Source organism: Homo sapiens, chromosome 6, assembly GCF_000001405.40.
Source record: "Homo sapiens chromosome 6, GRCh38.p14 Primary Assembly".
Classification (NCBI taxonomy): Eukaryota; Metazoa; Chordata; class Mammalia; order Primates; family Hominidae; genus Homo; species Homo sapiens.
Window position 1 is genome coordinate 90,146,715 of NC_000006.12, and position 15,846 is coordinate 90,162,560.

Below are 15,846 nucleotides of genomic sequence, written 5' to 3' on the forward strand. Positions count from 1 at the left end.
CTCTTTGTTGTTTCTTAAGCACTCAGATATTAGGATTAAGATTTACTAAAAGATAGGATAATGTTAAATTAACAATTGTCCTGTAAGGAAACTCTGGGAGTAAACTATAAGAAATAACTTCTAAAACTAACTTTACAAGTGGTTTGTGAATGACGATTAAAACTATTCATTTCAGATATTAGAGCCAATGACAGTGAAGAAATAAAAAATCTTGCAGTAGCCTCCAGGAGACGTAGGATAAGTCAAAGTGAACATATCATAGCTCGATCCTACTCTTTCATTTCTACTGCTACTTAAATAAAAAAGAAAAAAATTTTTCCCGAAAGGGTAGAATATGGCAGAAACAGTAAGTACCAAACCCAGCAAAAAGAGGAAGTTGGTTTCTTACATAGAAATGGGTAACTTGCTATATGCAATATTTAAAAAAAAGCCACTGCAAGAAGGGGCAGTAATAAAAATAAATTATTTTCCTTATTGCAAAGTATCTGAGGGTAGGAAATTGACCCAAACTGCCAGAGAATGAGGAAGCACCCTTTTCACCCTGTCCTCAGAATGTTATTTCATAATTTATCCCTTCCTCAGATGGCCTTTTTCTGCCACGTCCCTGCTCTCTGCTCTTCAGCTGTCCTCTCTCCAAACTCCTCAATTAAATTATCTCACGTTTTTCTCTGATCTGCTGTTCGCAGCTTGTCACATCACTATACCATAAGCCTTCCCACATGCTGCCGTAACAGTACACTTGGAGAGCCGTTCCGCGGCAGCCACTCGCTGGTATCCTGGATCCCGGGTGCACGAGGGTACCCTACAACAGTAGTTTCATTGTCTAGAAGGAGCAAGGCCAACCCACCTAGTCTTCTTCTAAGGAGCATATGGGTTCACATCCCTAAAAATTAGGAAATGTGCTATGATCAACCTGTTTAAGCAACAACCCATGTGCCAGATAGTCAATTAGAAAAAAAAATTGTGCTTGTCTTCTTCCTGTTGTATAAAAGAACAGGCAGTTTTCTCCTGAGCACCGTAATTGAAAAAATAAAGTTATCTGGTTATCACAAGTGCACAGCTTTTCATCTTGTTTTTGTTTCTGCAAATAAATAATTTGGGTCTGTAAGACATCTTTCACAAAATGATGTTTCAAAAAATTTTTACAGAATACTCTATCTAGAATGGCATGAATTACCCAAAACAGTAATACAAAGAACCTACATGCCAAATTAAAACATTAAATCAAAAGGCCAATAACAGAGGAAATAGAAAATCTTGTTGCAAAATGAGATGAGATTACAGAAAGACACACAGATGAAATCCTCTAGTTTGATGAGACAGAGGTACAGAGAGGCTCTTCCCAAACAGTCCAACTTTAAAGGAACACCTCATTGACTTAAAGGTGGCAATTTACAGGAGGCAGAGGAGCTAATGGCTGACAAATAGTGAAGCATCGTGCACTAGCCAGGAAGATTTTCCATTCAAGGAGTTTAAAAACATAGGAGACTTGGAGCCACATCCACCCAAGTGAGGAAAAATGTTATTTTTTTCTCTCCCGTACCCAAGTAGGACTTACTGATCTAATCAGAAACCAGGTGGTCAAAGCCTCAGATGCCCAGAGGGGAGGAAATGAACAGGTCCATCCTTTCAGCTGGGAAATATGACAATATTGTACCAAACACATTAAAAATATGCATGCCTTTCGATCTGGTAATTCCATTTCAAGGATATCTGAAAAGATAGATACACAGAAGATGCTATTTGCTGCACTTTTCATAATGCTCTGCCTTGTTTCCAACAGTGGAAAAACTAGACAACGGTGGAAAAATGTCCAGTAATAAGCCATGAAGCATTCATACATGGATTCTAGACAGATACTTGAAATGATGCTCTAGAGGAATATTCAAGTGACATGGTAAAAATTGAAGAGATTACAACATTTAAAAGGATGTGACCAAAAAGTGGGAATGTAATGGTTAAGTGTCTGTTTTACACACACACACACACGCATACACGCACACCTACAGTCAGGACTGTAAGACACATTCAGGAATGGTAAAATTATAAGTGTTTTGATTCTTTCCTTACTTGCCTTTTTTTGAAAACATCTTTTATAAAAACATGTTGTTTTTTGATAAAGAGAAAAATCAGTAATAGGTTTTGAAAAAGGAACACAATCAGGTGGTGGTCTCGTGTACAGGGACCTATGAAACACCAGGGCTGGAAGGGCCTTGTGGCTCCCTGAGCTGCTTCTCTCATTTGAGAGACGAAGAACCAAATGCTTCCAGAGTGGGAAGGTTCTGACCTCAGAAAAGCTAGGCAAGGCATCCCAGCAGGCAGAACAAGAGAGGGACACAGGCTGCTAAGGGTTGCCCCAGCAGGGCTGAGTAAGTAGGTGGAGTGGAAGTGATGCGGATGTATGATTTGAGAGTGTGAGTTCAACAGAGGTGTGAGTCCAAGGTGATGCTGGGCTTGGGAACAAGAACAAATAAGAACGTAAGAAAATTAGGACAACAGAGATATGATAAGGGGCAAGTAACCTACATTTTTTTCCAGCGCTTCTATGTAAAAGGCTCATGTTTACTCATGTAATGCTCAAAAGAACTCAGAAAATACCAGTACTCCCAACTCACTGTTAAGGACACTGAAGTTAAAATAACTAGCATTGGTCTCAGGGCTAGCAAGTAACAGAGCTATCATTTGCTCTCAGGATAAATTCCAAAGTCCATCTTCTTCCTACCGTGCTACACATTGTCTCCTCTGTTTGATCTCCTGAGAGAAATATCTCGATTCATACAGGTTACTTATCAGCTGAGGCATCTGGAGTTTCTATTGCATCAAACATCTCAGTTGGTGAGTCAATAACATGGGGGATGCCCATTGTAAAATCCAGCATAAACGAAACATTCAAAAGGATATATTCATGGAACTGGAAAGGCCAGCTCCCCCTGTGCATGATGGAGAGAAGGGAAGAGTGGTATTACAAAAATCCAATTGCTGGATATATAGGCAGATGAAAATCTTTTCATCCTGCTCTAAAGGTATCAAGAAATGTGGGGTCCTTTCCTTCTAAAACACAGCCTGCATCTTTCACTGGGTTCCAATTAGTCTGTCCTTGAACTGCCAGAAGTCCTTAGCATTAACAGTGAGCTGCTGCTATCCTGGCTATCATTTAGGGAGGAGCATAAGAGCAGGCACTGCAATATCACCTCTCTTTGGTCTGGGAAATGGGCAGCAGACAGTCCAGATGCCATTAAATGGGAGGTCTTAATCACCTATTAGCTACTTGCAGAAACCAAGACATGATTACTCTCCTTCAAGCCCCCAGTACTTTTCTCACTGCAGGGTTAATGAAAACATTAGGTCTCCTCCTCTTCCCTTTCTTATTGTTCTGATCATCTCCGAGGGGTTTGATTAGCACCAGAGCCTTCTCTGTAGTTATCCCTGTCTACAGTGATAAGCAACCAAGCCCACCCCTGCAGCGTCTCTCATGCCCGTGCCAGTGTTTATAATCACATGCACTACTCTAGTTTGGACTTTTATTGGACAATTGCTGTACCCTCCCAACTGGTCTCCTTGTTTCAATTACCCTTCTACATCATCAGCAAGACCAAATAATAATTATTTTACAATGGATAAACCCTCCTCAATGGAGCCTCAGAGTCTACTGAGTTAAAGGTAGTTTTAATTCTTCCATGCAGTTTTCAAAGTTGCTTGCAATATAGTCTCAATTTTACTTTCTAGTCTTATTCACATCTACTATCTAACACTTATCAATTACTACGGCCACTTCATTACTTCAAATGTCCTGAGAAGCAGACACTAACATGGGATTCGATGTGCTAGAGATTTCTTGGGGTAGGGTGCAGGAGGAGGCAAGAAAAGCCTTCAGATCGAGATGCAGGTCTGGCCCCTGGGAAGGAGAGGAGGAAGGAAGGAGGATAGGCTGTGAAGTGTCTTGGAGTGCAGCATAGTTCCGAGAAGGGTTTAGCCATGTCAATGGGGAGTGCTTGAGCCCAAGCTTCTCAGTGGAGGACCCCTTGTGTTGCTGGAATGGGCATGCCTTACTTAGCACCCCCACCATGCATGGTCAATGGCTGGGAGTAGCCCTTGGGAAGCATAGCCTTGGTGCCAAAACAGTGGTGGGTTCAGAGGGGCAGCAGTTGGGATGTCAGTCAGTCAGTCAGTCAGCGGTGTTGCCTAAAGCAAGAGAGCTGAGCGGTGCATTTTCATGGCCACCACAGTCACTGTATAATTCACCATTAAACTGGGACACTTTTAAGAGTAGAAGAGGGACCTATCAATAATTACACGAGGCAGACAGGTAGAACCAGGGTCCATCTAGGCAAACTAGAATTTATTGTCACTCTATGGCAACAGATGCATCAAAGGGCCTACTCAGTGTTGACTAGCATAGATCTTTCCACTTTTTGGCATTCTATCAGTTTGGAACAGTTTTATAACCCACACCATGGCTACAGAAATCCTATGCGTTTTAAAACTGACAAATGTCATCTTCTGAATGTTGTCTTTTCCTCCTTGGAATCATTTCGTGTGTCCCTTTCCTGAAATACTGACCCTTTCCTGCTATATATTTTATTTTTTTGAGACAGAGTCTTGCTCTGTTGCCCAGGCTGGAATACAGTGGTACAATCACACCTTACTGTAGCCTCGACCTCCCAGGCTCAACTGACCCTCCTGCCTCAGTCTCCTGAGTAGCTTGTACTGCAGGCATATACCACTATGGCTGGCTAATTAAAAACTAAATTTTTTTTGTAGACACAGGGTCTCACTACATTGCCCAGGCTGGTCTTGAACTCCTGGGATCAAACGATGTTCCCACCTTGGTCTCCCAAAGTGCTGGGATTACAGATATGAGCCACCACATCTAGCCTCTGCTATATATTTTAATTAATTTTATATTATCTGCTCCTGCCATAAGACAGTAAGATCTGTAAGGGTAGGAACTATGTGATTTTCAGTTTTTCTCTGGTTGACTACCACATCTTGCAGACACAGTGGACACCAACAGAAGGCATACTCCTAAATCTGTAGTGTCCCAACTCCAACTTCCTTATGGCTTTTCAGTTTTAAACAAATACTTGAGTCATCTTGTATTTCTTAAGTGCAAATTTTCCCTATGTCTTTATAGTTCAGACAGAGAATTCAACTATCAGCCAATCTTGGTGAATGAATTCTTTTACGATTTGTTAATTACTTTGTCCTTTTTTCTGCTAAAAGCCTACATTGAATTACTTCAACTTTGCCTCAAAAGAGGACTAACAAATTGCTGAATATAATTTGCACTTTAAACAATAAAGCTATTAATGGCATTTTAGCAAGAACACCCATTATTTTCTCTGCAGCAATAAATCAGCATTTCATCTGTTATAAATTGCTTGGTCAGCTTCAAATGGCTTTAGAATAAATCTCTTTCTCCTTTCTGCCTCTGCTGTCCATGACAAAGAAAGGAGGCAGAAGGTAACCCTGTGTTCTGCATTCCCGGGCATATAATTTTCATGCTGCACGACTCTATAATTTATTTCTAGCGATAAGCATCTTGTAGTGCTACACTGGCTGCATGCTCACACATGTTCAAATGCACACAGAAAGACACAGGTAACTCTTCAGCAGTAATGCTGAAATAAAGAGGCTTCCAGGTGAAGGGCTCAGTGACTGTGTATGGTAAAATTTTGATGCCAACTGCATATTTTAGTAATAGGGCAGCTGTAAATATAAACACAAATGTTCTAATAATCAGACTATTTTTCAGCCCCACCTCCAAAATATGGGTAAATTCCACAGGATGATTAGATAAGGCACAGGGTTATCTTGTTAATATTAGGCTATTGTACATTCACATTTCTGAGAAATATACTTAATAAGTTTTACTTTTTAAAAATCATTTTCATTGAAAGTCTTGAATGTAGCATAGCATCACAAAGTAGGTGCCTAATAAATATTTAAGTGAATGAGTTAACAGAAGAATGCCTTTCATTTAGTCTGCTTAATGCTTAAGTCACGTTATTTAGTGTTATTCATTCATCACAACTAAATACTAATATGTCATCTATATTTACTACAAGCTAGTCCCTCTTCTCTAGTTTATAATTTGCTGATACTTGGGGGTTATGTTTACTGTCAGTTATAGCGCTAACATTTCAAACATAAGGAGGACTTTGTGAATATTACTATGGATAATGGTGATTAGCTGCTTTTGGCATCCTAGGCAGAGTGAGAGAAAACAGACTTAAGCTACAGCATGAGGGATTCAAGTTAGATAAGAAAGAAAGCGTTCTCGTATCAAATCTAATTAAGCACCAGAGTAGATGAATGAAGGGAGCTATGAAACATTCTTTCTTGGAAGTTTTTAAAAATAAGACGAAATCTCATCAGTACATATATCATTAAGTATGCTCCTCCATGAAGATAAGGAGGAATTGGTTCTAATATTCTGTGAAAGGCAAGTATATTTATTAAGGTTATATCTAAAAATATAATTTTCAGAGTATGGCCATTTCATGTAAAGTACTGGTATCAATTCATAGTCAAGATCATGAATCACACGCCCAAGTGGTGACTTATAGTTCTTTCATTTACTAGGTGACTCTGGGCAAGTCACTGTATATCTAAGATCCAGATTCTTTTCCTAAATAAGAGTAATCCTGCTTCTAAATACTACTCCTCAAAATAAATTAAATCAGACCTTGTTGGGTAAGTTATATTCTGAATAAATAAGCAGTAGAAAATCTGATTCCTTCAATTTCAAGTCATTTCAATACTATATTCTCAGTTAATGTCCTGAAACAAATAATCTATATATAAATAAGAGTTTTTCTTTTTATCACACTAGTAACAATTAGAAAAGAAACACTAACAGATAAATTTTAGATTGTGGCAATTAAGTGAATAGCAATCTGATAGCTATAGGATTTACCTTCAAAATCCAGGCACATTCATGTATTTATACCAATCTCTCTCCATGCTAATATTCTTACAGAGGAATTTTATTAAAACATGGCTGAATCTATCATTTCAGTATTCCCAGGCACAAGGCAGTGAGGAAATAAAACACTCCTTCTATGTTATGGAACCTAGAGAAAATAATTCTTTCCTAACCAGTGGGGTACATTTTCCTCCTTGAGGTTCGTAAGACAAATTTTGAAAAAATCATGGTGCAGACTATGTAATTTACGCTTAAAGTATTGTAACTGCTTTTGTGTTAGGATTCATATTATGAGAAAATTCACATATATTACCCTTTTACGGCTTGGTTATAGATCTATTTTGATTATGGTCATTGGAGCCTAAAACATCCACACCCTAAAAAGAACATATCATTCCAATCTCTATCTCTTTTAAAATAGGGACTTTGGGCTATAGCATGTTTTTCTCAATAGCCCAACTCCCTACTCAGAGATACTACTATAAAAGCTGTATTTTGGCTGGGAGTGAGGGAGGAAACAACCCTAGCTATTTGCAGAGTAGAATTGCAGGTTCCATTGGCAAAAAAGTGCCAGAAGTAGAGGAAATGCAGGTTACAAAGCATACAGAGGAAGAGTGACAGATGAGATGAACAAAATTGATTCATGGAGAGAATCAGATCAGGACAAAGGGTAAAAAAGTCTCAAGAGCCCAATCACGTCAAAAAGATCAATTTTTAGGAGAAGTGTAGTCAATAGTGTCTTAAAACAAAATTAGAAGTGGAAGCAATTTTGAAGGTCATTTGAAGAGTAATCTACTCCTTTTATAGATGAGAAACTGAGACCTAGAAGGAGTAGGTGACTTTCTCAAGGCCACTCTATACTAGGAGGTGACAGACATGTGCTGCACAATTCAGAATAATGAGTGGTAGGTTCAGAACCCAAAAAGTTCATAATGAGCCAGGGTAGCCCCCTTCCTCTTTAAGGGACCCTCTCTCTAAGCGCCCCAGCCTTGCTCCCAAGGAGCACTGCACCTTCTGAATCTGGTGAGTGATGGGGAACAACAGGCCAGGAAGGGAGGAAGTATATCTGCCAATGCTCAAAACGTGTTCATTCTGATGGCCCTAGTTCTAGCCTGCCTTTTGAATAGCACTGCGTTAGTCAGTACTGGACAGGAAGCACAAGTGTTACTTTGGCAGGGTCCTGTCCGTAGAAAGAGACCCACTGAGAGCCTCTTGTGTACAGCCACAGACAATGGGATAACCCACATGCTGGCCCCTCCCAGTCAGCTACCAAGGCAGACTGCGGAAAAGGGGACAAACTGGCAGGAAGAACTTGAAGCAGGCTCAACCATAAGTCAGGTTGCACAGCAGACATGAGGAGAAGGGGCACTGCAAAGGGAGAGCTAGGGATCATAAATCCAATGCTATTTGAGGCGGAGTGTCTGCGATCTGTAATTTATATGGATATAATAAGCTCCATGCCTAAGACACCGCAGCCCCAAACAACCACCACCAAAACACAAAGCACATGTTTAAAGGGGTGAATTACCCAAAACATCAGGTTTCTCCACATGGCTAGACTAAGAAGGCTGCAAAATCTATCACTGTTATGGGCTGGAAAGCCAACCAGGAGAGCCTTCTTAGGACTTCTAAAGGGAAACATTCTGGATGAACCTCTTGGTCTTGTAAGAAGGGAGGCTAGTTATGTTTAACTATAAACACATGGCAGTAGGTGTCAGCGATATGTTCCATTCGAAGACTATATAATAAACATCATTTTTGGAAAAGGAAACTAAACTAAGAATAGATAACCTGAGAATGCCATGCAAGGGCTAGAGCAACTTCCCATCCTTTTGCAAGCATTTAGCAATCAGGTTTCGCCTTTAGCTGAACTCCTTTCATTTCATGCAATATTTAATTTATACAGAGATGATTCATTTGCAATAGTAAATCATCACAACATTCTGTAAAAACAACAACAATAACAAAAGACTAGAAATATAGGAGGCCTACAACAAGCACCTAATTTAAAACTGCAGCCTCTTCCTATCCCCAAATTGGCCCTCCTCTTTCCTGCTCTGTTTTTAAATTTTTTTCCTAGCAATTACCACCTTCTAACTTACTATAATTTGCTTGTTTATTGCTTATTTTCTGTTTTCCTCCAATAGAATAGAAGCTCTAAGAGGGCAGCAATTTGTGTCTGTTTTGTTCACAGACACATCCCATGCATTGAGAACAATGCCTGGCACAAGCAGGTGTGCAAAAATGCTGGCCGACTAAAAAAAGTCATGGATGGGTTGTCAATATTGCATAAAGTCCTATTCTCAGATGACAATTGAGGTGGCCTCATCACTAACTACAAGAGATTTTTTTTCCCCAATGGAAATCACCAAAGTTTTAAAAAAGATTGGAATTCCAAGGTTAGTGAGGGAGTTCCGCTATCTGATGAAGCAGTGACTCACCTGAAAAGTTCCAGGGGACCTAATCCCAATGTGCATGGGGCCCAACCTCCTGACCAGCCTTGCATATCTGAAGGTGGGGAGGGAAACTGAGGTAGGTATCGAGTGGTGTAAAAAAAACGCTTCACAAGAGTTTTTCTTTATAGCCTTACAATTTTAATACTTTTGTATAGCACTTCCCAGGCATAAGCAACACTTCCACTGCATCTTACTCTACTTTCATAACAACCCCTGTAGGCAGTAAGAATTATATTCTGAATCTTGGAGAGTGTGCTACTTGCCCAGGGTGGTTGGCCAAAGTGGGACTGTTCCTATTTTGGTTTAAGAATGCAAGTTTTTGGGTTACAAATTCAGTCCTTTTTCTACATGGCATGGCCAAAAATAACATTCTCAAAGATGGGTTACTTAGCTGCCCCACTCTCATGGTTTACTTCAGGGGAGCATTGTACAAAAATGGGTGATTGTCTAGTTTTCATTGCCAATATGCTGGGAAATAAAGAAAATAATGAGAGAACACCAAAGTTTCTACTACCAAACAAGTAGGCATTTCAGGTGGTCTTTACTTAGGGCCTTGCATTTCTTAGGCTAAGTTGTGTTATATTGAGCTGAGGTGGAGGACTATGAAAAAGAAAGGCAGCAGATTTCACAGGGACCATTCAAAGCCCTGCAGGAACAACAACAACAAAAATGCTATGAAACAACACGGAGTAACTCTTGCATAAAAATGGAGAAAAGTAGGGTCTAAAATACATGCACCAAAACCCAAAAAAGACATGGAATACATGACCCAGGCGGCCCTGAAAATCTCATCCTCACACAAAGAAGAACTGTGCAGCATCCAGAGAGAAGAAGGGATGGTAGCTGGGGAGATGAGACCTTTGGAGAATTAACTACCAAAGGGGATGAATCAGCTCACGTCTGACAACACCTACAGATTCTGTCAAACCTGCCGCACTCTTCAAGAGCTTCAAGGCTCACAAACAGGAAATTGCTGGGTATGACTTAACCTGACTCTCAACCTCCTTAGAGAAGAGCTTGCCCCAAAAAGGTATGAACAAAGTGCAGAGCCAAAGGGCAAGAGGTGAAGAAGAATACGAGCTCACATTCCAGGTGTGGGGCATTTAGTGGAAGGAAACACTTTTCGAAACATATGAGTTATTTGGGATTTAGCATTGGGCTCAATGCCAATCAACATATTCACTTGGTAGACCAACACTTCACAGAAATGAGAAAAGAGAAAACAATTACAAAGGAACTCTAAGGGCACAAAAATTTGTGAAGAAGTGAGATTGGGTTGTTAATTTATTCATTCACTCATGATATTCTGCATCAGATTATTTTCAGAAGCAAAAAACTTTGAATTGACCTAAACAGTAAGTAAATTTATTATTTTACACGACAGAGTTGCCTGGAAGTAAAGCCAACCCAGGACTGGTTTAGCCCACAGCTCACTGATATCCTCGAGGGCCTGGGTTCTTTCCATCTTTCGGTCCTATTTTGTAGGTTCCAGGGAAACCCATACCGCTGTGCATGAGCCAAGCTGATGACCAGATCTTGTATATCTAACAACAAATTCACCCACTGGATCAGGAACTGGGGCTGGGACCAGCTGCCCGAGCAGATGGCCGCTTAGAGGAGAGGAAATACTCCAACCAAATCAGGGTTGCACCAGCTAGAAAGGGGCTAATGGCCATTGAGTGAGCCCCTGGAGATATCCACGATGGTCATTTGAAAGGTATTCATTGAGCACCTACTATATGTCCACTCCTGTACTGATCACTAGAAACACAGAGACCAGGAACTGCCTGCACATAGACAATAATGAGGAAGGCAGACATTAATGAAATAATTATACAAATAAAGATAAAATTGCAACTGTATTAAGTGCGATGTTGGAAAGGTATGTGGTGTCATGAGAGCGTTAACTGAGGGGGAGGTGATGCCTCTCTGATGAAGGGATATGGAGCTGCTGGGGAAGGGGCATGGAGAAACATTTCAGACAAAGGGAGCACAAGCAGTGGCCAAGTAGAAGGATGGGGTATGGCACATTCAAAAACTGTCCCCAGATGGAAGACAGTGAGGGTGAGCTTGGAGTAAGACGGAGCTAAAGAGGTAGGCAGGAGCCAGTCCATATGAGTTGTATACAACAGAAGATAAGATTAACAAACATCTTTTTAAATTTTAAAAATATTAGACCATTTGTTCACATAAAGTTTTACACAAACAAAAGCTCTAAAATGCCTTGGTGCACAATGTAGTGTGACTATCAAATGGCCATTCCCCTTCCTTGCAAAATGCATACTTCTAGCCATTTCACTTACACTATCTCATCGAGAAGAAAGGCAGGTGTGGGAGGCAAGGCACAGGTAGACCCAGGAGCGGGGTTGAAAGATGAAGCCACACAGTCATAACTGATTGGGACAGGAAGAAAATAATTAAAGAGGCCAAGCTAGGAAAGGGACATCAGGAAGAGCGTGGCTTTGAGACAGGGTTGAACAGGATCAGGGGCCTGGGCAGGGGCTTCATGATGTGTAGTAAGTAACGAGAGACGGGTGGTTGAGCTGGGGGATGGGAAAAGACCCAGGAGCACAGGGCAGAGTCCAGAATTTACTTCCCTCTCCTATTCTAGGGAGGTAACGATATGGAGATGGCAGAACTCAGTCTCCCTCTGTGTCTTCTTTTGGTGGGGGGGGGGCACTTACTCACATAGCAAGAGGTTACACAAAACTATTCAAGGGAAAGTGCCACAAAGTCCTCTCTCAGCAAATGAAAATATGCTTCAGAAATAAACAACACTGCCACTCCCTCATGGGGCTGAAAAATATCATCTCTTAATTTGATTTCTTAGCACTAATAAACTACATCATAATCTCTCAATAGCTGAGTATAAATGGTCGAATTAACCATCTTCTGCCCTTCAAATACTTAATTTCCATGGTGACTAATTATGCATTTCTTTTACCACATGGATGGGCAAGTAACTAAATGGGCTCTATCTTCTAAAGCAGACATTTAACGTGTGACAAAGTCCTCTCAGATAAACTTGTCTCTTTTGAAATGAGATAACTAATTACTGGGTAAGACAGCAGAATCGTTTCCCTACTGGGAAATCAACTACGTGGTCTAGTAGAATGAAAGGCACGGACCATGGCAAATCAGGTCTGCAAAAACAGTAAACAAAACAAGCCAACAGAACAATTAACACATGTGGAAAAAGCCAAATACAGTATCCACTGCACAGCTGATTTGATTTTAAGACAACTGAATATGTGTTTCAGAAAGAAAGGGAAAAGAGTGAAAATATATGGAAGTATAAGAAAAGAAACAAAACATCCTAAAAGTAAAATAAGGCAACTAAAGGCAAAGGAAAACTTTTATATACGCAGACCTCATAGACTACACAAATCCCTTTGTCTGCATTCTCTAGAGAATTAAGAAATGGTCACTATACATATATTTTATTGCTCAGGAAGGAAGTCCACATCTCTTCCAGAATTCTAACTATTAAATACACAAAGCATTGAGCCATGCAGATAATTCTCTTTTCAAAATAGGGACATAACCTATTTTCTCTAGATCAGATGTAGCTGGCTAACTGAGAGCCCATAGCTATTGTGGTAACCAGGAGAAAAGGAAATGGATGATTAAAGTAAATCTAATTCAATAAGCTAGTGACATTGTACTGTACAAAACTGGGGATGGGAAAGAGGCGGATACAGGCCAAAGGAGGAATAGTGCTTATTTTGTTCCTTTTGAATTTTATCAAATTGTGTATATATTTGTGACTTTTACCCTAAGGAGCATAAAAAACTGACAATAAAAGATTATCTGAATGGAACATTGGTTTTTGGTAAGTGTCAAGCACAAAAGGAATCATAATTTTTTTCAACGAGCTTTCAAAGTATGTATGCTCTTGACATCTGCTGATAAGCTGCAGTTTCCTCCTAAAAACTTAAAGCTTCTCTAAATTCAACATAAGCTTGCTTTCAGTATCTGCAAAATATATGTGGATAAAATTGAAGTTTTCAAAAGGGAGTTACCATAGAAACACACAACTCCCTAAAAGAGCAGTCCATCATCTCTTAAGGGGAACCGTCATCACAGACATGTATTCAGTATCTCTCTGTGCACGTGAGGCCTTAGACAATACACAAAGGACAGTCAGCACTTGCACACTGGACAAATACAGAAATTAGATAAGCCAAGTCCTTACTCTAAGTAAGCAAGGCGGGGATGAGGCCCTTTGTGTATGTGCATGTGTGGGCTGTAGGGGACAGGAATCATGTGAGCTGGATCCTGTGATGCAGCTAAAATGCAGCCATCATAACATTTATTTAAAACACAATTCTATAACAATCTGGCCAGTGCACACAGTTATCACTATGGACTGTTTTCTGTGAATTCTTTTAAAATGAGGATCTAAGTACTAGAAGCAGCACGTACAAAAATAGTTTTATTTTTACTAGCAGAGTAGACTCAAGCTAAAAATAAACTAAATGGGAATTTTGTACTGCAGACTTTTCAAAAACAGTGTCTGTATACCTAAGACAAACACCACCTCTTAATTAGAAATTTCTGTAAAGCATTCCAAAAAGGCCACACTATTTTCAGTCAGACTATATGGTTCTTCAGACTTGGTTTCTCTTGAGACAAAAGAACCCCATGGAGACGACATCTAAGTTGGAGTCTTCACTTAAACCACTTATGGTCTTTATGAAAGGATTTTTGGGCCAGGCACGGTGGCTCATGCCTGTAATCCCAGCACTTTGGGAGGCCGAGGCCGGTGGATCACGAGGTCAGGAGATAAAGACCATCCTGGCCAACATGGTGAAACCCCATCTTTACTAAAATACAAAAATTAGCTGGGCGTGGTGGCGTGCGCTTGTAGTACCAGCTACTCTGGAGGCTGAGGCAGAGGAATTGCTTGAACCCGGGAGGCGGAGCTTGCAGTGAGCCGAGATCGGGCCACTGCACTCCAGCCTGGCGACAGAGCGAGACTCCGTCTCAAAAAAAAAAAAAAAAAAGGATTTTTGCCCTTAAAGAAGCCAAATCATTACACAGCCCTTTTACAATGGGACAGATCTAACTGGAAGGAAAAAAAAGATATACTTTTAGGCACTGTGCCCCAAAAAACTCAGCAATTAAAGTTTGGGATTAAAAAAAGTTAAAGCTATCTAAACTGAGGTTTGTATAGAAATGTGATTATTTTTGCAGGTGTATTATCTGTGATTGGTACTAATGATTTGCAAATCATATTAATGACCATAATAATGATATTTTTTCTAATGAAACACAGCACTTTACAAACATTAAGTATTTAATCCCTGTTAGGTAAATTACAGCTACTCTTAACCACATCTTACAAATGGTAATACTGATATCACTATTCATGATTTGCCCCAAATCACAGATGACTAACATCAGAATTTATTTTAAATAAATATAAACAATAAAGTACACATGTGCTTATTTGCATGTGTGAGTATACAAAGCATCATGATTAGGCATAGTTAAGCAACTGATTAGAAAGTCATTCAAGGTCTCACTTAAAAACCAATCAAGTTAAATCTAGGTAATACAGGCCTAGTACCATCAGTTGGCATTATTCTGGGGAAAAAAAATATCAGAATGCTTAGCAACTCAGAATGCTTAACATCCTACCTTTCCACTGCAACCTGTAACAGACAACGGCCAGTGGCCCACAATGCCAGTGCCAACCACAGACAGGATGGATGGCTCTGGAACCATTAGAAGGCACCATTCAAATAGACAATGGTACCAACCAGCGTCTCGATGGTGGTTATAGGTCTGAAAATGTGTACTAAAAGAAGCGGAACCTCTGGCCGATGAATTTATTTGGATTTCATGGCTATTAGTACTCTGACTTCCACATAACCTTTGAGATTCAGACTGAGCAGGAGTTCCTCAGAGAAGCTTCTCTGAGCCCTGAGCCGGACCCAACAATGCTGCTCCAGAGAATGTCTTCAGACTCCACCCCAGAGCTTCTTCACGATTTTTGGACACTGGCTTTCTTGAAAGCTTCCCAATAGGATCAAACTTCTTAAGGGCAGGAGCCATACTGTCTTGTGCCTGGACAATGTTTATAAATTGATGGAGCTTTATAAATGTTGAATAAGTCAATGAGCATAGGACTAAATTTATTTAAATTACTAGTGCTCTCATCTATCAGAAAATTTGTTCTTTCGGTGAATATATAATTAAAATGGTGTGGGTTAAAAGAAAGTTCCTGATTATCACAAAAAATTCAGAGACCAGGGCCAGGTGTGGTGGCTTATGCCTGTAATCCTAGCGCTTTGGGAGGCCAAGGCAGGAGGACTGCTTGAGCTCAGGAGTTCAAGACCAGTCTGGGCAACATAGTGAGACCTTGCTGCTACAAAAAATTTTTTAAAAATTAGCTGGGCGTGGTGGCACACACCTGTGGTCCCAGCTACTTGGGAGTCTGAGGTGGGAGGATCACTT

General features: G+C 40.2%; 1 protein-coding gene across 2 annotated transcripts in view, besides 3 other annotated features; it reads right to left on the minus strand.

Moving 5' to 3' along the window:
• Nucleotides 1-15,846, minus strand: part of BACH2 (BACH transcriptional regulator 2) — a 370,316-nt gene that overhangs the window by 220,187 nt on the left and 134,283 nt on the right. The window lies entirely within an intron of this gene.
• Nucleotides 9,722-9,866: an enhancer, noted in NCBI's record as "145 bp 6:90866227 sequence used in MPRA reporter constructs". NCBI's record gives its function as "activates a minimal TATA-containing promoter with rs7774138 allelic activity by MPRAs in C283T melanocytes {active_cell/tissue: C283T}" and the evidence as "EXISTENCE:reporter gene assay evidence [ECO:0000049][PMID:36423637]".
• Nucleotide 9,794: a transcriptional cis regulatory region, noted in NCBI's record as "rs7774138 or 6:90866227 MPRA-significant variant associated with a GWAS melanoma risk locus at 6q15". NCBI's record gives its function as "allelic transcriptional activity by MPRAs in C283T melanocytes {active_cell/tissue: C283T}" and the evidence as "EXISTENCE:reporter gene assay evidence [ECO:0000049][PMID:36423637]".
• Nucleotides 9,900-11,099: an enhancer, noted in NCBI's record as "CDK7 strongly-dependent group 2 enhancer chr6:90866333-90867532 (GRCh37/hg19 assembly coordinates)". NCBI's record gives its function as "activates an origin of replication core promoter dependent on BRD2, BRD4, P300/CBP, MED14 and CDK7 cofactors, with strong dependence on CDK7, by STARR-seq in HCT116 cells {active_cell/tissue: HCT116}" and the evidence as "EXISTENCE:reporter gene assay evidence [ECO:0000049][PMID:35650434]".